At 39.1% G+C, this 21374-nt stretch overlaps 1 protein-coding gene across 10 annotated transcripts in view; it reads left to right on the forward strand.

Annotated features, from left to right (window-relative positions):
* Positions 1-21374, forward strand: part of VMP1 (vacuole membrane protein 1) — a 134602-nt gene that overhangs the window by 15870 nt on the left and 97358 nt on the right. For 4 of the 10 annotated variants that reach the window (NM_001329394.2, NM_001329395.2, NM_030938.5 and 1 more), the window contains exons 2-5: positions 7898-7999; positions 11815-11950; positions 13930-14020; positions 15314-15424. In NM_001329394.2, coding sequence (NP_001316323.1) covers positions 7924-7999; positions 11815-11950; positions 13930-14020; positions 15314-15424 — 414 coding nt within the window. In that variant the 5' untranslated portion in view covers positions 7898-7923. The remainder of the gene's footprint in view (positions 1-7897; positions 8000-11814; positions 11951-13929; positions 14021-15313; positions 15425-21374) is intronic. The other 6 variants (NM_001329398.2, NM_001329399.2, NM_001329401.2 and 3 more) reach the window with 4 other exon arrangements.

Here is a 21374-nt window from a genome sequence, read left to right on the forward strand (position 1 = left end):
TCACAAAAGCAATTTATTTTTATTTGTCGGAGCAGAAGTCATATCACAATGGATCAGGCAGAAATTTGATGATGAGTAAGTGGAGCCTGTATATGTCGGCAACTCTTTTGAGCACTGTTTATGAAGAAGGAATGAAAAATGGGAAATACTGAGTACTTAATTTTCTGGTGAGAATAAAGGGGTAAAGATTGATTACACAGTGAGAACAGAAGGAGCAAAGTCCCTGAGAAGGAGGAAGGAAATGATATATATATATTGACATAATGGCCTTTGGTAAGTAGAGGACACTGCCAAGTCATAAAGAGAGAAAAATGCTGACATGGGTGAAGTGTAAATATTTTAGTAGGCTTAATAGTAGTGGGATTGGTGAATTCTCTCACTGCTTTTGTTATTTAAAAAAATGTAACAGGGCTGGATATGGTTCATGCCTGTAATCCCAGCACTTTGGGAGGCCAAGGCAGGGGGATCACTTGAGCCCAGGAGTTCAAGACCAGCATGGGCAAAATGGGGAAACCCAGTCTCTACTAAAAATACAAAAATTAGCTGGACATGTTAGCATGTTCCTGTAGTTCCAGCTGCTCGGGAGGCTGAAGTGGGAGGATCACTTGAACCCAGGAGGTCGAGGGTGCAGTAAGCCATGATTGCACCACTGCACTCCAGCCCGGGGGACAGAGTGAGACCCTGTCTCAAAAAAAAAAAAAAAGAAAGAAAAGAAAAAGAAAAAAGAAAGTCAATGTCTGAAAATAAGAAAGGAAAAAGGAGGGTAAAACGTTTTGGGAGCAAAAACAAAGAATGAAATAGTTGTCAAAGTAAAAAAAAAGTTTATTAGCAGGAATCATCAATTTTAGGTTTGAGCTTTGGCATCTTAATAACTGGGCTAGGCACAGTGTCTCAAGCCTGTAATCCCAGTACTTTGGGAGGCTGAGATGGGCAGATCACTTGAGCCCAGGAGTTTGAGGCCAGCCTGGACAACATGGCGAAACCCCATCTCTATAAAAATTAGCCTGTCGTGGTGGTGCACACATGTAGTCCCAGCTACTTGGGAGGCTGAGACAGGAGGATTGTTTGAATCCGGGAGGCAGAGGTTGCAGTGAGCCAATATTGTGCTATTGCACGCCAGCCTTCGTAACAGAGTGAAACTTTGTCTCAAAAATAATAATAGGCAGGGCACGGTGGCTCACGCCTGTAATCCCAGCACTTTGGGAGGCCGAGGTGGCTGATCACGAGGTCAGGAGATGGAGACCATCCTGGCTAACACAGTGAAACCACGTCTCTACTAAAAATACAAAAAAATTAGCCGGGCCTGGTGGCGGGCGCCTGTAGTCCCAGCTACTCGGGAGGCTGAGGCAGGAGAATGGCATGAACCCGGGAGGTGGAGCTTGCAGTGAGCCGAGATGGTGCCACTGCACTCCAGCCTGGGCGACAGAATGAGACTCTGTCTCAAAAAAAAAAACAAAAACAAAAAACAAAAAAAACAACAAAAATTAGCCAGGTGTGGTAGTGGGTGCCTGTAGTCCCAGCTACTTGGGAGGCTGAGACAGGAGAATCACTTGAACCTGGGAAGCAGAGGTTGCAGTGAGCCGAGATTGTGCCACTGCACTCCAGCCTGGGCAACACAGCGAGACTGTCTCAAAATAATAATGATAATAATAATAATAACTGGCACATAATGGACCGTTGGTATATATTTGTTGAATTAAGAATTTGAAGTGGCTTTGTAATTGTGTGATTTTCTTCAGTTATGTTCAGCTTCTTAGACAGATCATAAGAATGCAGATGATTCTGGAGGCACTGCAGTTTTACAAAGTTTTACAGTACGTATGATTGGGGGAAGAAGAGGCAAAGTGAGGATGTTTTCAAGGGAATTTTGAAAGGCAAGGAAAAATGTTAAATCCTTTAGAAAATGGTTAAAATGCAGAAAAGCTTTGAAGTTTTTATAAGCTTAACTATTAAAACACTAGTGGGTCTTTTATTTTGGCTGTTTCATACTTGGGATGGTTTTAAATCATGCTAAATGGTCAAAATGCCAAAAAAAAAAAAAAAAGGGTTTTGATGCTTTTATAAGCTTAACTGTTTAGAACCTCAGTGGCTCTCTTGTTTGGCCTTATGCTATATTTCCTTCTTTTGGGAATGGCAAGAAGGTTTTGAAAAGTTGTTTTTTAAACTGCAAATTTATTTTGTTTATGAAGAAATAGACTGATGAAAATAACTTAGTTCCCTGGGTTATTTCTTACAAAACAAAATTTCAGACTATTATGTTTTCCAGAGAGAATTTTGGAGAAGGAAATGTCAGTATGCTGTTCTTTTTTAGCACGTTGTGTAAGAGCACATTATTTGCTCAAATGAAAACCCCTGTTGCAATAGCTTAAAAACAAAACCTTCAAATAATTGTGCAATACCATTGTTATAAGTACGCACTCATAGACCCAAAATGTTTTGGGTAAAACAATGACACTATGGGAAAGAGTAAATAGGGGCAAATGAGTTCAATTATCAGTGTTTTGTAGGAGAAAGGTTTTAGAATGTTATTTATAAGGCAAACCTTTTTGTGCCCTGTTTATCTTTTCATCACAAATTAAATAAATTTTACTTACTGTGATAGAGATGAATGGCTGGCTTTAAAATATCTTAAATATCCTTAAATATCTTATTTGTAAATATTTATCATATATTTAGATATTTACAAATGTTTAAATATCTTCAAAATATTTTTTAAAAGATATTGCCTATAGGATTTGGCTGAATATGAACACACATAGTTTTTTTTGTTTTTTTTTTTGTTTTTTTTGAGATGGAGTCCTGCTCTGTTGTCCAGGCTGGAGTGCAGTGGTGCAATCTCGGCTCCCTGCGACCTCCACCTCCTGGGTTCAAGCGATTCTCCTGCCTCAGCCTCCCGAGTAGCTGGGATTACAGGCGCAAGCCACCACACCCAGCTAATTTATGTATTTTTAGTAGAGACGGGGTTTCGCCATGTTGGCCAGGCTGGTCTCGAACTCCTGACCTCGGGTGATCTGCCCGCCTCAGCCTCCCAAAGTGCTGGGATTACAGGCATGAGCCACCACACCTGGCCAAACCCACATAGTTTTAAGTATTTGCAGAACTTAAGTATAGCTTCAAGTTAAATGACTGGCAGATGGAAAATCATTAACTTTTTTATATGGTTCCATTTCAAACATCCTCAGTTGATTTTTTTATTAATAAAATTCAGATTTGTGAAATAGATTTCCATTTTGTAAACCTATTGTGATGCTCTAGCATCTTTGGTTTTTGTTGTTATTGTTTTGTAATTGCTTGGGCTACATTATCTTTTGGCTGAATCTTCACACAAGTATGACTTAAGTTTGCAGAGTCAAACTTTAAGCTTCTATGAACTGGTCTGAATATTTTGTCCTGTGAGCTCCGATAGTGCTTTCTACTTCACGATCTTCATAATAGCTAGTATATATTGAGGTCACGTGAAAGGTGAGGCAATATGTTAGTATTTTATGTACATTATCTTGTTTAATCCTCAACCCTCTGATGTGTGTCATGTTATCTCTGTTTTACAAATTAAGAAAAACTGATGTTTAGAGAGATTTACAAATTTCTCCAGTCTGTTAGACTTTTTGTTTTTTTTTGTTTTTTTTTGAGACGGAGTCTTGCTCTGTCTCGCCCATGCTGGAGTGCAGTGGCGCGATCTCCGCTTACCACAAGCTTTGCCTCCTGGGTTCATGCCGTTCTCCTGCCTCAGCCTCCAGAGTAGTTGGGACTATAGGCGCCCGCCACCATGCCTGGCTATTTTTTCGTATTTTTAGTAGAGACAGGCTTTCACCGTGTCAGCCAGGGTGGTCTCGATCTCCTGACCTCGTGATCTGCCCGCCTCAGCCTTCGAAAATGCTGGGATTACAGGCGTGAGCCATCATGCCTGGCCCTGTTAGACTCTTAAGACCTGACTAAAACATTGTCTTTTCATCTAATTTTATTAAAATGCCTATTTCATCCCATTCTGTTATAATTGATTTCTTGTGTTCATTTGGCTTCTTTACCAGACTGTGATCCTCTTGAGGACAGGGACCTCCTTATCCTATTAATATTTGTATCCTCAGTGCCCATTGGAGACCCCCGAACTTTTAAAATGAGAGCTGAATGAACAACACTGGCATCACTGATACAATAACAATGAGGCATGTGCTGTGAAGTTGTTTTTTATAGTTTAGGCATTTTGTACGTTTATTACCTCCTACTCTTTTGATGTATTGGTATTTATAGTCACACATGCATGCGTATCAACAAACATACACATGCATACATAGATTATTTCATCTACACATCAATCATTTGAAAGTGGCAATTATTGTCCTCATTTTGTGAATCCAAACAATGAAGGACTAAAGAAAATGAAACTTTGCTTAAGATCACACAACTAATCAGTGGCAAATCTGGGATCAAATCCAGATTTTTCAGATTTTAAATCTTATGATTGTCTACTTAAGGCTATCTATACTAATAGAAACCTATATTTTATTTCTTGATGTGTTTATTTGCTTATTCAGCATTGAAGACAACAAAACAAAGGTATACACAAATGGATTGTATCTTAAAAAGGAGAATATTACAGTGATGAATGTGTGCTTTTTTTTCTAGTGATTTTTATAGGCTTTCACTTGTTTTCCTTTATGAGGCATAAATTTTGAAAATAGTTACAATAGTTAGAGTTTAGACAAGGAATAAATTAGCACCAGCTATCAAACTACAGGAAGATTGGACCCATGACCATATCATATTCTGATCAGCTAAATATAAATCTAGCATGACTCTTGGCACATACAAAGTGTTCAGTTAGTATTTGTTCAGTGAATAGGTAAACAAACCTTATACAAGCATCTTATCAAGTGACTTCATGAATTTTCTTTCTTAATAATATAACCCCCTAACTCATATATCTGACTTTGAATTCTAAATTGTCACTGAATCCGCTCATAAAATATAAAAATTTGAGCCACTTGGCCATGAGAATACTCCTAATACTCTTGGGTCTTCTATTAAATATAGAGACGCGTGGGTAGTGGCTCATGCCTGGAATCCCACCACTTTGGGAAGCTGGGGCAGGAGGATCGCTTCAGGCCAGGAGTTCGAGACCAGCCTGGGCAACATAACTAAATGAATGAATGAATAAATGAGATTATTTATTTATTTATTTATTTATAATCTATGAATATATTATTCATATGTATTCATAACATATATTTCCTATGAATATTTGGAAGTTTGGATAGTTCCTGCTGGTGACTATTCTTAAACAGCTTTATTGAAACATAATTCACATATCATATAATTCACCCATTTAAACGGTATATTCACATCTATGCAACTATCAAAACAATTTTAGAACATTATCATCACCCCAGAAAAAAACTCACAACTCATTGGCAGCTACTCCCCATTTTTCTCCAGCTCATCTGCTAATCCACTTTCTGTTATCATGGATATGCATATTCTGGAAATTTCATATAAATGGGAATCATAACAAGTAGTCTTTTGTGACTGACTTCTTTCACTTAGCATATTTTCAGACTCCATTGATGCAGTAGTATGTATTACTACTTTATTTCTTTTTATGGCTAATATTTCATTGTTTGGGTATACCATATACCGTATTTCCTATATCCATTCATCAGTTGATAAGACATTTGGGTTATAGGCTGGGCGCAGTGGCTCACGCCTGTAATCCCAGCACTTTGTGAGGCCGAGGCAGGCAGATCACAAGGTCAGGAGTACAAGACCAGCCTAACCAACATGGTGAAACCCCGTCTCTACTAAAAATACAAAAATTAGCCAGGCATGGTGGCGGGCACCTGTAATCCCAGTTACCTGGGAGGCTGAGGCAGGAGAACCACTTGAACTCGGGAGGCAGAGGTTGCAGTGAGCCAAGATCATGCCACTGCACTCCAGCCTGAGCGACAGAGACTCCATCTCAAAAAAAAAAAAAAAAAAACCTTTGGTCTGTTAACAGTGTCACTATGAACATTCCTGAATTGCTGAGTCATATGGTAACTGTATTTTACCTTTTGAGGAACTGACAGATTGTTTTCCAAAGCAGCTGAACTCTTTTGCATTCCCACCAGCAGTTCCGATTTCTCCACATCCTCACTAACACTTGTTATTATTATCTTTTTTTTGTTTCTTTTTTTTTTTTTTTTGAGACAGAGTCTTGTTCCTGTCACCCAGGCTGGAGCGCAATGGCACGATCTTGGCTCACTGCAACCTCCGCCTCGGGGGTCCAAGCGATTCTCCTGCCTCAGCCTCCCGAGTAGCTGGGATTACAGCCACCCACCACCACGCCAGGCTAATTTTTGTATTTTTAGTAGAGACGGGGTTTCACCATGTTGCGCAGGCTAGTCTTGAACTCCTGACCTCACTATCTGCCTGCCTTGGCCTCCCAAAGTGCTGGGATTACAGGCGTGAGCCACTGCGCCTGGTCTATTATCTGTCTTTTACTATAACCATCCTAACAGGTATGAGATTGTATCTCATTGTGGTTTAATTTGCATTTCCTTGATGGCTAAAGATGTTAGACATCTTTTTATGTGCTTATTAGCAATTTGTGTATCTTTGGAGAAATATCTGTGCAGCTCCTCTGTCCGTTTATTAATTGGATTATTTGCTTTTTATTACTGAGTTGTAAGAGTTTGCAGGCCCGATACACGCTTCTTATGAAATATATGTGATTTGTAAATACTTTCTCCTGTGGGTTGTATTTATTTTCACTTTCTTTTTTTTTTTGAAGCAGGGTCTCCCTTTTGCCCAGGCTGTAATGCAGTGGTACAATCATACCTCAGTGTAGCCTTTCACTCCTGAGCCCAAGCAATCCTCCCACCTCAGCCTCCTGAGCAACTAGAACTACAGGCATGGGTCATCACTCCTGGCTAATTTATTTATCTTATGTAGGATGGGATCTCACTGTGTAGTCCAGGCTGGGCTCAAACTCCTGACCTCAAGTGATCATCCTGCCTTGGTCTCCCAAAGTGCTGGGATTATAGGCATGAGCCACTGCACCCGGCCCCAGTTGTCTTTTTATAAGTGTCTGGGCAAGTTTTAATATTGTATTAAGGACTCAGCATTTATTGTATTAAGGACTCAGCATTTTAGCCTTTTATTGAAGTGATGTGCTTTTTGAGTAGAAAGTTTTGCTTTACTAACACCTGAAGAATGATACAATCACAGGCAATCTGGTTTTTATATGTTGTATTACATTAAAGTAAAAGCACTGATACCTGTAGTATGAAATGAAGCATGTTATAAATAAAGTACATTTAACTATCTTAAACATTTCAAGTTTGGTTTTTTTTTTTGCCCATATCATTTTATTCAGTAGAATTGTTTCCTAAATAAAACTGGTCTATGATCTTAGATTTATGTATCAACAGTTGCAGCATCTTTTGTAGTATATTCTATTTTTATATAATAATGTTAAAGGGAATATGAAAGAAAACTGTAAAAAGGTAAAATGATAAGATTAATTTTGAGTACACAGTAGTATGATATTTAATTGTAAATTAGAAGGAGTTAGACTTTATAGTGTGTTAACATTTGGAGTTACTAGTGCTTGATATCCTCCTTCTGTGGACAGATTACCTCCAAATTTCAATCTGGAAGATCCCTGAAATAACTACTAGGAAAAGGTTTACAACTATATGGCTTTTATATTTTTACTATTTGTATTAGAATATCTATATAAATTGTTCAATAGAATAACTAAATTGTTCAAATTTTGGTTATAAAAGAAAAAAAGTGTAAACACATCATACATATCATGTGGCTTATTACTGTGATGTTATTCCTGTATTCAGTTTTATTCAGTCACAGCTACACAGCAGAAGTTTGTAATGTATTGCTGGATTTTATTTTGCTGTATTAGCTCCTCAAGAGTTACTGATCTATGAAATGGCAGAGAATGGAAAAAATTGTGACCAGAGACGTGTAGCAATGAACAAGGAACATCATAATGGAAATTTCACAGGTAAATTTTGATGGTTTGCAGGGAGGAGTGCTATGGGTTTAAATGATATACTTTTCATTGGAATAAAATAGAGATATATTACTTCTTTTATTTTTAATCTTATATTATCTTCTTAGTAAATTAAATTATGGGTCAGTCAGGGCCTGTAAGGTGATATTTCACAGTGATGGCAGAAGGAGCCTGGCCACAATCACATAAACAGTGTTCCAAGTACAAGATTATTACTTGTTAATCTTATAGTATGGTCAGTGTTTATTTGGCTTTGCTCAGTGCTCAATTTTATTGTGCTATTTTGTAATTCTAGAAGTAGATTATAAACTTACTACACTGTTCTTAAATATACAGTTATCAAAAAAGTTAGAATGTGAATATTATTTAAAAATTTATTTTAAAATTATCGTTTGAGATGAATAAACTCATATTTTAACCAAATTGGAATTTGTGGTAAATTTCAGTGTATTTGACTCCTGTTTATACAGTTACCCTGAAAATGATGACTTTTATTAATATGGATGATTTAAGTAGAAACTTTCCTTCATGCATTTAAAGGAAAATGAAAAAAAAGTTTTACTTTTGTTGTAATCATACTTTTTTTTTAGCTTTTGAATTGTTTGACATCTCAAACACATGGCAAATAATACTCTAGTGTGGTAATATTTTCACAGCAATCCTCTACTTTTAGAGGAAGTGCAAGGAATCTGAAATAGTAGTTTTCATTTGTTTGTTTGTTTGTTTGCTTTTTGAGACGGAATCTCACTCTGTCACCAGGCTGGAGTGCAATGGTGCGATCTTGGCTCACTGCAACCTCCGCCTCCCAGGTTCAAGCAATTCTGCCTCAGCCTCCCGAGTAGCTGGAATTAAAGGCATGCGCCACCACGCCCAGCCAATTTTTGTATTTTTAGTAGAGATGGGATTTCACCATGTTGGCCAGGGTGGTCTTGAACTCCTGACCTCGGGTGATCCACCCACCTTGGCCTCCCAAAGTGCTGGGATTACAGGCATGAGCCACCGCGCCCGGCCTCATTTGTTTGTTAATCACCATATTGCCTTGCAGAGGACATTTTGCAGCACTGATCTGACTTTTGGGTTACTTTGGTTGTCAGTAAACTTGGCAATTTCACCAAGAGTTTCAGGATTCAGAGATGGGCATTGCATACATCATAGTGTCTTCCCATTAGGAGCTTTTGTGTGCTATTTTTTTCTTTCCTTTTAGAGAGCACATACATTTGTATATTCTTCCTCTTCTGCTCACCCCATTGGAATTTAAAATTAACATTAGCATGTCAAACTTACTCTTCTGTACCAGGTGTTTTTTAATATTTTAGAGATTATGCTATAACTGTACATGAAAAACTGATTCTTAGGCTGGGCGTGGTGATTCACGCCTGTAATCCCAACACTTTGGGAGGCCAAGGCGGAAGGATCTCTTGAGCCCAGGAGTTTGAGACCAGCCAGGACAACACAGGGAAACCTCATCTCTGCAAAAGATTTTAAAAATTTGCTGGATGTGATCGTATGCGCCTGTAGTTCTAGCTAGCTACTCAAGTTCTAGCTAGCTACTGGAAAGACTGAGGTGAGAGTATCGATTTAGCCCACAAGGCTGCAGTGAGCTGCGATCACACCACTGCACTCCAGCCTGGGTGACAGAGCAAGACCCTGTCCCCCAAAAAAAAAAATTTATTCTTTATTATGGCTGCTTAGTTTTTCTTTCCATTGTACGAGTGTGCTGTACTTTAATCACTCTTCTGTCCTCTATTGGTAATATATAAGTTATTGATTATTTTTTGCTAGTACAAATAATGCTGTGGTCAATAAAGTTGTGCAAGTCATTTCACCTTATACCTAATCATTCCTAGAAATGGAATTACCGGTTTACAGTGTATATGCATTTTGTGCTGGGCGTGGTGGCTCACATCTGTAATCCCAGCACTTTGGGAGGCGGAGGTGCGTGGATCACTTGAGGTCAGGAGTTTGAAACCAGCCTGGCCAACATGATGAAACCTCATCTCTACTAAAAATACAAAAAAAAACTAGCCGGGCGTGGTGGCAGATGCCTGTGATCCCAGCTACTCGGGAAGCTCAGGCAGGAGAACCGCTTTAACCAGGGAGGTGGAGGTTGCAGTGAGCCAAAATCATGCTACCACTGCACCCCAGCCTGGGCAACAGAATGAGACCCTGTCTCAAAAAAAACAAAAACAAAAGCATTTTGTAATTTCAATAGATGGTGACAATTAATAGCTAAACTTAATTGGGCACTTACTAAGTGTTAAACTCTTCTGAGAACTTTACATATATGAGCTCATTTAATCCTTAAAATGACCCTGAAAAGTATGTACTATTGTGATCCCCATTTTACAGAAGAGAAAACTGAGTCACAAAAGTATTAACTAACTTGCCCAAGATCACGTGACTAATAGAAGGCAGAGCCAGGATTGGAACCAACTAGTTTGCCTCACCATTTTTGCGATCTAAACCACTTTGTTCTGTAATATGATCCTAGGTTGATAGAATGCCCTTCATAGAAGGTGGACCAATTTAGACTTATTTCAGTAATTTTCCCAAAATCTATAGCTCTATCCCAAATTCAACTGCTGGAATTTTCAGTACCATTTCTTTAGGACATCCTCTACAAAAGATTCTGATGTTTATCAAGGCAGGGAGTTGGTTTTGCCTCAGTTGTTCTCTAGGTAACACTGATTAAGAAATGGCAACTATAATATAGTAGCCCCCTTATCCATGAGGGATACATTCCATGACCCCTAGTGGATATAGGAAAAAACACTGTGTTGTTCTGTATATAGTAATGGGGTAACATATACAACGCGGATGTACTAAACAAAGGGATGAATCAGGTCTTAGGCTGGATGGAGCAGGACTGGCAAGATTTTATTATACTACTCAGAACAGCATACAATATAAAACTTAGGGGCTTGGCTGCAGTAGCTCACACCTGTAATTCCAGCACTTTGGGAGGCCAAGGCGAGCTGATCACTTGAGGTCAGGAGTTTCAGATGAGCCCAGGCAACGTAGTGAGACTGTGTCTCCACAAAAACCAAAAATATTAGTTGGGTGCGGTGGTACACACCTGTAGTCCTAGCTGCTTGGGAGGCTGAGGTGGGAGGATCACTTGACCCCAAGAGTTGGAGTTTAAAGTGAGCTGTGATTATGCCACTGCATTCCAGCTTGGGCAACGGAATGGAGACCCTGTCTCTTAAAAAAATAAAAATAAATTTAAAACAATAAAACTTATGAATTGCTTATTTTCAGAATTTTCCATTTATTATTTTCAGACCATAGTTGACCATGTGTTACTGAAACTGTAGATAAGGGGGAACTACTGTCATTCATCTTCTTTCTATGCTGAGTTGGGACTGGTTGCCTTTTTTTTTTTTTTTTTTTTTTTGAGACAGAGTCTCTTTCATTCTGTTATCCAGGCTGGTCTTCAGTGGCACAATCTCAGTTCACTGCAACCTCTGCCTCCCAGGTTCAAGGGATTCTTGTGCTTCAGCCTCCCGAGTAGCTGGGATTACAGGCGTGTACCACCATGCCCAGCTAATTTTTGTATTATTAGTAGAGACGGAGTTCCACCATGTTGGCCAGGCTGGTCTTGAACTACTGACCTCAAGTGATCTGCCCTCCTCAGCCTCCCAAAGTGCTGAGATTATAGGTACTACTAGTTGCCATTTTTCACAAGACTCTAGGACTTGCTATTAGTTGTTATTTGGGAGATAAAACTCTTTTCATCTAAAGTGATTGAAGAGAATAAGCATAAATGTTAGAAATTCTGTTTTAATCTCTGCACTATTGTTTTTCAGACCCCTCTTCAGTGAATGAAAAGAAGAGGAGGGAGCGGGAAGAAAGGCAGAATATTGTCCTGTGGAGACAGCCGCTCATTACCTTGCAGTATTTTTCTCTGGAAATCCTTGTAATCTTGAAGGAATGGACCTCAAAGTAAAGAGTCTTCTCCCACTACCTTTTACATACACCTCATTTACTCATTTAAAAAATCCTCAGTAATCTCTTACTTTCTGCCCTCTACTCCATCAAAATGGATTAATTACCTTTAGAATATTACCATAGGAACATATTTATTCTCCTTTCTTTAGGTTGAAGAAAAATAGATTAGGGAAAGACATTGCTATTTGCTGTTTGCTTACTGGATTATCACAGTTGTCCACTGTTTTTTCATGTTGAATCTGCAGTGGAGAACACTGAAAAATACGATTTTTATTTTCTCTCCTGATTTTACCATTGGGAGAAATCAGGTCTGTGTAATTTAGATACACTGATTCTTTAGCAGGGCAAGGTTCAGCATATGTGGCAGTTTTACTGATAGTTTGAGCCAATGAAAAAGAACTCTGCCATGGAAATGTGTTGTCTTTAAATTTAGTACTTGTAAGCCCTGTTTCAAGTACCATAAAGAACAAGTTGAACTTTTACATGCCTTATCTTCTGGCATGCCCTTCCAAGTTATTCTCTGTACTATTATCTTAACATTTTTATTGTACTAAGAGTTTATAAAGTATTTTGTAACATTTTCAGCTGATTTTGATCCTTAGGGCAACTCCATAAAGAAGGTAAAACAAGTACATTATTATAAACATTTTAGGCCAGGCGTGGTGGCTCACACCTATAATCCCAGCACTTTGGGAGGTGGGTGGATCATCTGAGGTCAGGAATTCGAGACCTGGCCAACATGGTGAAACCCCGTCTCTACTAAAAATATAAAAATTAGCCGGGCGTGGTGGCATGTGCCTGTAGTCCCAGCTACTCAGGAGGCTGAGGCAGGAGAATCGCTTGAACGTGGGAGGCAGAGGTTGCAGTGAACCGAGATCATGCCACTGCACTCCAGCCTGGGCAACAGAACGATACTCTGTCTCAAAAAAAAAAAAAATTAGCCGGTCGTGGTAGTGCATGCCTGTAATCCCAGCTACTCAGGAAAATCACTTGAACCCAGGAGGTGGAATTTTAGGCCATTTGGGAGGCTGAGGTGGGTGGATCACCTGAGGTCAGGAATTCGAGACCACCCTGGCCAACATGGTGAAACCCCATCTCTACTAAAAATACAAAAATTAGCCGGGCATGGTGGCGTGCGCCTGTAGTCCTAGCAACTTGGGAGGCTGAGGCAGGAGAATAGCTTGAACCCAGGAGGTGGAAGTTGCAGTGAGCCAAGATCATGCCACTGCACTCCAGCCTGGGTGACAGAGCAAGACCCTGTCTCTGAAAAAAAGAAACAAAGCCCGGGCATGGTGGCTCACGGCTGTAATCCCAGCACTTTGAGGGGCCGAGGCAGGCAGATCACTAAGACAGGAGTTCAAGACCAGCCCGGCCAACATAGTGAAACCCCGTCTCTACTAAAAATACAAAAATTAGCCGGGCATGGTGGCACACACCTATAGTCCTAGCAACTTGGGAGGCTGAGGCAGGAGAATAGCTTGAACCCGGGAGGTGGAGCTTGCAGTGAGCTGAGGTCGCACCACTGCACTCCAGCAACAGAGTAAGACTCCATCTCAAAAAAAAATAAAAATAAGTAAATAAAGATTATAAAAACAAGAAACAGAATCAGGTTGGTTAAGTGTCTGGCTGAAAGTGCAACATGAAGGGTCTCTGACCCAGGTCCTCTGACTTGAAGGCCAGTGCTCTTTCTATTATACTATAATGCTTCTCCATATTATAAGTTGAGGTTTAATAAGATCAGGCTTTGGGTAAGGAAAAGGCTACAGTGGGGGTTATGATAAGAACTTGGGTTCTCTGCCTATGTATCTTCCCTTGACCCCCTTCTGTTACTCCAAGAGGCCATGATGTGTAAGGAAAAGAGCTCAGCCCAGCTGAGCTAGGTAACCTAACTGTTTCAGCAAGAAATTGTTCTGAGAATGATGAATGCTGAAAGTGAGACTGTGAGATATTTATTTTTTTTATTTGTTTTTAAGATTATGGCATCGTCAAAGCATTGTGGTGTCTTTTTTACTGCTGCTTGCTGTGCTTATAGCTACGTATTATGTTGAAGGAGTGCATCAACAGGTGAGAGGTCGAGCAATTCTGTTTCTAGTCTTGCACATTCTCTAATTCTCTAATCTCAGTTTCAAATGGGATGAATGTGGGTTTTATAGAATTTCTACCCTCAACATTATCTCATAACTAGTATCTCAAATGTTTTACTTTTAAAGGCATACACTAAAAATATTCTTGTGATGTTTTATGGCTGCTGAGGATTTATATGTGGTGTGTGTGATTCCTTTTACCTTCAAAGATTTTTTTTTTTTTAAAGACAGAGTCTCGCTCTGTCACCCAGGTTGGAGCGCAGTGGTGTGATCTGAGCTCACTGCAACCTCTGCCTCCTGGGTTCAAGCAATTCTCCTGCTGTAGCCTCCCAAGTAGCTGGGATTACAGGCACCTGCCACCACACCCAGCTAATTTTTTTTGTATTTTTGTAGAGATGGGGTTTTGCCATGTTGGCCAGGCTGGTCTCAAACTCCTGACCTCAGGTGATCTGGCTGCCTTGGCCTCCAAAAATGCTGGGATTACAGGCCACTCTGCCTGTAATCAAAGATTTAAATGTAACTTTCCTGAAGGTTTTCCGTCACAGCAGCATGAATCCGTTAATCACTGCCAAAGTTTTCTTATTTTCTCTAACATACTTTTGTGACCCATCCAAATAGGTAGGCCTCTCATCCAAGGTTGATGATTACGTTTTATTTGTATAAAAAGACAGGTTCATTTGCCTGTAGTCTACATGTACAACATTACTGATGGGAAAATAGGATGCTTTGTTAACCTCTTTTGTTAAAATAGCAAAACATTAATGTATTTTAACAGGAAATGGTTCTAGAATGGTATTTTAAAGCAGTTTACTGCCAATCACAGAAATGACTCTAGAATGGTATTTTAAAACAGTTTACTGCCAATCACTGAAATGACTCTAGAATGGTATTTTAAAACAGTTTACTGCTAATCACAGAGAAGTTTTTACAGTTCTAAATGCATTTATTTTAAATATATCTAAAATTATCCTCAAAATTATCTTATTCATAATTTGCTTTTTCCTGTGTCCTGTAAATAGTAGGACTTTAAAAGTTTAGAAACAAGGCTTTTATTAAAGGTTTAGAAATAAGACCTTTATTCCAGTTAGATTAATTTTTTTGTCATCTTTGCCATTGTGTATTAAAGAAATTAGGCCTCTTCAATGGGTTTTTAATCTTATTAGTTTTTTCCTATTTGAAACTTACTTTAGTTGATTTAATTTTGATGATGGTTTATAAATACCGCATTTCTGTATAGAGAATTCACGGTTTTCACCTCATCCCTTTTTTTCAGTATGTGCAACGTATAGAGAAACAGTTTCTTTTGTATGCCTACTGGATAGGCTTAGGAATTTTGTCTTCTGTTGGGCTTGGAACAGGGCTGCACACCTTTCTGCTTTATCTGGTAAGAATAATTTTATTTTAATAAGCAAAAATGATATTTCCTATCTTTTTATTGGTGCTTTTATGTCAGAAGTAAAAATTCTAAGATTTGTTTTAATTACCTTTGTGTTTTGTAAGCATTCTGATCCTCCAATCAGTGCTTTAAGTTTGACTTAGAGTTCTGTTTTGTTTTTCCTTTAGGGTTAGTATTTAAAAAGCAAAGAGAAAACCCCAGTTAAGCAAATAAGGTTGTTTATTTAAATTAGTTTAGCGTGGAAGGTTTTTCTTTTCTTTCTAGATTTAATTGCTTAAGCAATTGTTATTTTAATAAATGAAGTCCATTTAAATATGCAAAATTCCATGTGAGAAATGTCTTCCCTTACATCCTCTAACATCATTTACATACTTGGATATTTATTTTGGTATTCTTGTTGAATGTAATTGATGGAGTATTAACATGTAGAACTAAATGCTTTCTTGAGTCCTTTGAACCAAAGTATAAAAAGTGCCCCTTCTGGGCTGGGCGTGGTGGCTCACGCCTGTAATCCCAGCACTTTGGGAGGCCAAGGCGGGCAGATCATGAGGTCTGGAGATCGAGACCATCCTGGCTAACATGGTGAAACCCTGTCTCTACTAAAAATACAAAAAATTAGCCGGACGTGGTGGCGGGTGCCTGTAGTCCCACATACTCAGGATGCTGAGGCAGGAGAATGGCCTGAACCCGGGAGGCGGAGCTTCCAGTGAGTGGAGATGGCGCCACTGCACTCCAGCCTGGGCGACAGAGCAAGACTCTGTCTCAAAAAAAAAAAAAAAAAAAAAAGTGCCCCTTCTGAAAAATATTCTTTTACTAGTGGAAATAAGAGAGAATGGCCAGGTGCAGTGGCTCACACCTGTAATCCCAGCACTTTGGGAGGCCGAGGCAGGCGGATCACAAGGTCAGGAGATCGAGACCATCCTGGCTAACATGGTGAAACCCCGTCTCTACTAAATATACAAAAAAAATCAGCCGAGCTTAGTGGCAGGCGCCTGTAGTCCCAGCTACTCGGGAGGCTGAGGCAGGAGAGTGATGTGAACCTGGGAGGTGGAGCTTGCAGTGAGCCGAGATCACGCCACTGCACTCCAACCTGGGCGACAGAGCAAGACTCCGTCTCAAAAAAAAAAAAAGAAAAAGAAAAAGAAATAAGAGAGAATGAAGATCAATTTTCCTTTGAACATTCACAAATATACTGGAATAATGTCAGAGCTAGAACTAGGGAGAGGTTGAGTTAGATACTGAGGGCACAAAATATAAATAGGCACTCTCAGGGTCATGCAGATACAGAATGGATGAATAAGTGCCTCATTAAATTTTGTGCCCCATGTGCCTTGCTTGTTCTTGCTGTTCCTGTCCCTAGATAATAAATTGAAAACACTTCCATATTTGAAAGCAGTTTGATCTTCATTGGGGAAAAACAGGTGAAAGATTGTCAAGCAGTACCCATTGCTGAATAAAATTCATCACTACAAGCACTTGCAATCTCTGTGCTATAATGAATTCATCTCTGAAGCAGCTAGGATAAGTATTAAGGAATGATTGTCTGCTTGGCTCAGAAGGGTACTGGATTAATGATCTGACGAATGCTTTGGGAATTAATCTATAATATATCATTTCTCCAAGTTTATGGGAGTTTAAAACTTGGAACTTTAGAATTATGTTCATGTTTGCTTGGTGATTTAACTCAAACAGGGACATAAATCCTAGGGAATTAACTCATATCACTGTTTTTCTAATAACTGCATTCGTAGTAGAATAACACTACATTCACTAGTAGAGGTTGAGGGAGAGAGGAAAAGAAGGAATTACAGGTTACAGGATACTTTTCTGTTCGTGTCTAGACCTGTCCTCATATTCCTTGGGAAAACCAGATTAAGAAACTCATTTGTAGCATTTAATTAATTTGGAAGCCTCTGAAAAGCAACCCAGATAGCAGACTCTGCTGAATGTCAAAAGAGATTGAAATTATGGCTCATGCCTGTAATTCCAGCATTTTGAGAAGCCAAGGCGGGCTGATCACTTGAGCCTAGGAGTTCAAGTCCAGCCTGGGCAACACATCTCTACATCTCTATAAAAAATACAAAAATTAGTCGGGTGTGGTGGCACAGGACTGTTAGTCTCAGCTATTCAGGAGGCTGAAGCGAGAGGATGGCTTGAGCCCAGGAGATAGGGGCTGCAGTGAGCTATGATTGCACCATGCACTCCAACCTGGGTGACAAAGTGAGACCTTGTCTCAAAAAAAAAATTATTTTAAATGCCCTAAAATTAAGTATATATAAAACAGCCAGATCTGCAATTTATGAATATATAATCCTGGCTATAGTGTGGGAGATAGATTGAAGGTGGAAGAGAAGAGGAGCAGTTAGGATTATCCTTATGAGAGACACAAGCTTCCCAGGAGGTGATAGGAAGAATGGATAGCAAGGAGTATTTATAAAGAGAACTTGTAGAGAGAAGTCAAGCAAAATGAAGACAAAAGATGGTATAGATCTTTGATGTTTTAAAAGATTGCTTGGAATGGAAATAGCATTTGGGATGAAAAAGGACAAATATGACAGAAATTTTAGAAGTACAATCAAGAGTGTGGTACGTTATTATGGAGGAAGAAGGAATGAAAGATAACTCTTGGATTTCCTTTTGTTTTGTTTTAATATATTTTATGTGTATTTAAGGTATATAACATGATGTTATAAGATATAAATATATATAGTAAAATGGTTACTATTGTGGAAAAAATTAACATATTCTTTATCTCATGTAGTTACCCATTTTTACGTTTTTACTCCTCATGGCAAGAACAGCTATAATTTACTAGTTTAGCAAAAACTCTGAATACAACACATTGTTATTAACTATAGTCCTCATAGTGTATGTAGAGTACATTGGATCTTTTGACTTGTTCTGCCTGTATATTTGCTACTTTGTATCCTTTGATCTACATCTCCTCCCATCTCTATCTCTATAAATGAGATCTTGCAACATTTTTCTGTGTAGTTACTGGTTTTTTACTGAGTGACTGGGTAGATTTTGATGCCATTAACTGTATAGAAAACAGTTATTTGTTCACTTGTTCACATTTATTACATATTATGTGAAAGTATGTGAAAAGAGAAATTTAAAGGTATACTGTAATTATGCTGCAAGTTAAATGAGATCCTCACTTTATCCAGGTAGGTTGCTGGTGCCCGTAGTTGAATGGAAAGAGAAGGGAAATTTATAAAGGACTGAGAACGCCTACAAAACAAAACAAAACAAAAAATTATTAGAGCTGGGCACAGTGGCTCATTCCTGTGCTCCCAGTGCTTTGGGAGGCCAAGGCAGGAGGATCGCTTGAGACCACAGGTTCAAGAGCAGACCTAGCAAGACCCCGTTTCTGAAAAACACATAAATAAATAAAAGATAAATAAATTAGCTGGGTGTGGTGGCATGTGCCTGTGGTCCTAGCTCCTTGGGAGGCTAAGGAGGGAGGATTGCTTGAGCCCAGAAGCTCAAGGTCACAGTGAACTGTGATTGCACCACTGCACTTTAACCTGGGAAACAGAGCAAAACCCTGTCTCAAAAACAATAATAATAATAATAATAATAATAATAATAATAGGCTTTATTGTTCAGTGTAGTTTTAGGTTTACAGAAAAATTGAGCAGAAAAGACAGAGGATTCTAATACACCAGGGGTCCCTAATCCCCAGGCCACAGACCAGTACTGGTCCCTGGCCTGTTAGGAACCAGGCCACACAGCAGTAGGTGAGCAGTGGGCTGGCAAGCAAGTGAAGCTTCATCTGTATTTGCAGCCGCTCCCCATCACTCGAATTACTGCCTGAGCTCTACCTCCTGTTAGATCAGCAGCAGCATCAGATTCTCATAGGAGCTCGAACCTTATTGTGAACTGCACATACGAGGGATCTAGCTTGCATGCTCTTTATGAAAATCTAATGCCTGATAATCTGAGGTGGAACAGTTTCATCCCAAAACCATCCCCCACCTCAGGTCTGTGGAAAACTTGTCTTCCACGAAACTGGTTCCTGGTGCCCAAAAGGTTGGGGACCACTGCCATAACACCTTTCCCCACCACACAGTTTCCTCTACTATTAACATATTGTATTAGTGTAATTTATTTGTTACAATTGAGGAACCAATATTGATACATTATTAACTAAAACCCATAGTTTATGGGATCTACTCTGTGTTATACAGGTCTATGGGTTTTGACAAATGCATAATGTCATGTATATACCTATAGTATCATACAGAATAGTTTCACTGTCTTAAAAATGCCCTGTGCTTCACCTGTTTTTTCCACTTCCCCACCTGCCCCCAAACCTTTCACAACCACTGATCTTTTTACTGTTTCTATAGTTTTGCCTTTTCCAGAAGACACTATAGTTGGAATTATAGGGTATGATCCTTTTCTGACCGACCTCTTTCACTTTGCAATATACATTTAAGGTTTTTCCTTGTCTTTTTCTGGTGTGATACCTCATTTCTTTTCATCACTATTTAATAATATTCCTCTGTATGGATGTACCACCCGTTTGTGTATCCATTCACTTACTGAAGGATATCTTGTTTGTTCCTGTTTGGCAATTATTTTTAAAAAACTGCTCTCTCTCTCTCTCTCTCTCTATATATATATATGCTATATTATATATATGCTATATATATGCTATATTTATAAATACATATATTTTCTGATAGATCCTGAGTATAATATATACTCTATTGATAGAACATGAGTATTAATTACTAATATATAGAAAAAACTTGGCTTTTTTAAGGTTGTTTACTAACCTTATATCCTGCAACATTGCTGTAATTGCTTAATAGCTCCAAGACTTTTTTGATGATTCCTTATGATTTTCTACATAGATAATTATGTCATCTGTGAACAAAGACAGTTTTTCTACTTTCCCAATCTGTATACCTGTTATTTCCTTTCTTGTCTTATTGCATTGGTTAGGTTTTCAAAATAATGTTGAAGAGGAGTCATGAAGGGGCCATCCTGCCTTGTTCCCAACCTTAATGGGAAGGCCTCTAGTTTCTCACCCTTAAGTATGATGTTAGCTGTAGGTTTTTGTAGATATTATTTACCAGGTTGAGGAAGTACCCCTCTGTGCCAAATTTGCTGAGGTTTTTGTTTTTTTTTTTTAAATCATGAATCTGTTGGATTTTGTCCCCCAAAACCCACTGTTTTAGATGATAGTGACTAGAAAGCCAATATTTGACCAGGCGCGGTGGCTCATGCCTGTAATCTCTGCACTTTGGGAGGCCGAGGCGGGTGGATCACCTGAGGTCAGGAATTTGAGACCAGCCTGGCCAACATGATGAAACCCCGTCTCTACTAAAAACACAAGAAATTAGCCAGGCGTGTTGACAGGCACCTGTAATCCCAGCTACTCAGGAGGCTGAGGCAGGAGAATCAGTTGAACCCAGGAGGTGGAGGTTGCAGTGAGCCGAGATTCCACCACTGCACCCCGGCCTGGGCAACAAGAGCGAAATTCCATCTCAAAAAAAAAAAAAAAAAAAAAGTCAATATTTAAAAAAGAAATAAAGTCCAGGCATGGTGGCTGATGCCTGTAGTCTCAGCACTTTGAGAGGCCAAGGAAGGATCCCTGCTTGAGACCAGGAGTTCAAGACCTGCCAGGGCAACATAATGAGACCCCATCTCTACCAGAAAAAAAAAAAAAAGAGAGAGACAGAAGGAAAGAGAGAGATGAAAGAAAGAAGAAAAGGAAGGAAGGAAAGAAATTGAATATTTAGAAGCTTGGGGAGAAATCTGTTAAATATAAAAGAAATATAAAGAGAGATCTAGTATATGCCATTTCCATTTGACCAAATGACCTTTAGTTCTTAGACCTTTTTGATCCTGACTTCCATTTAGGATCCCCTGGGTTTAACAGAAAGAATGAAGAAGAAAGAGCATTTATAAAATATAATTTGCA

The sequence above is a fragment of the Homo sapiens genome, chromosome 17 (assembly GCF_000001405.40).
Source record: "Homo sapiens chromosome 17, GRCh38.p14 Primary Assembly".
Classification (NCBI taxonomy): domain Eukaryota; kingdom Metazoa; phylum Chordata; class Mammalia; order Primates; family Hominidae; genus Homo; species Homo sapiens.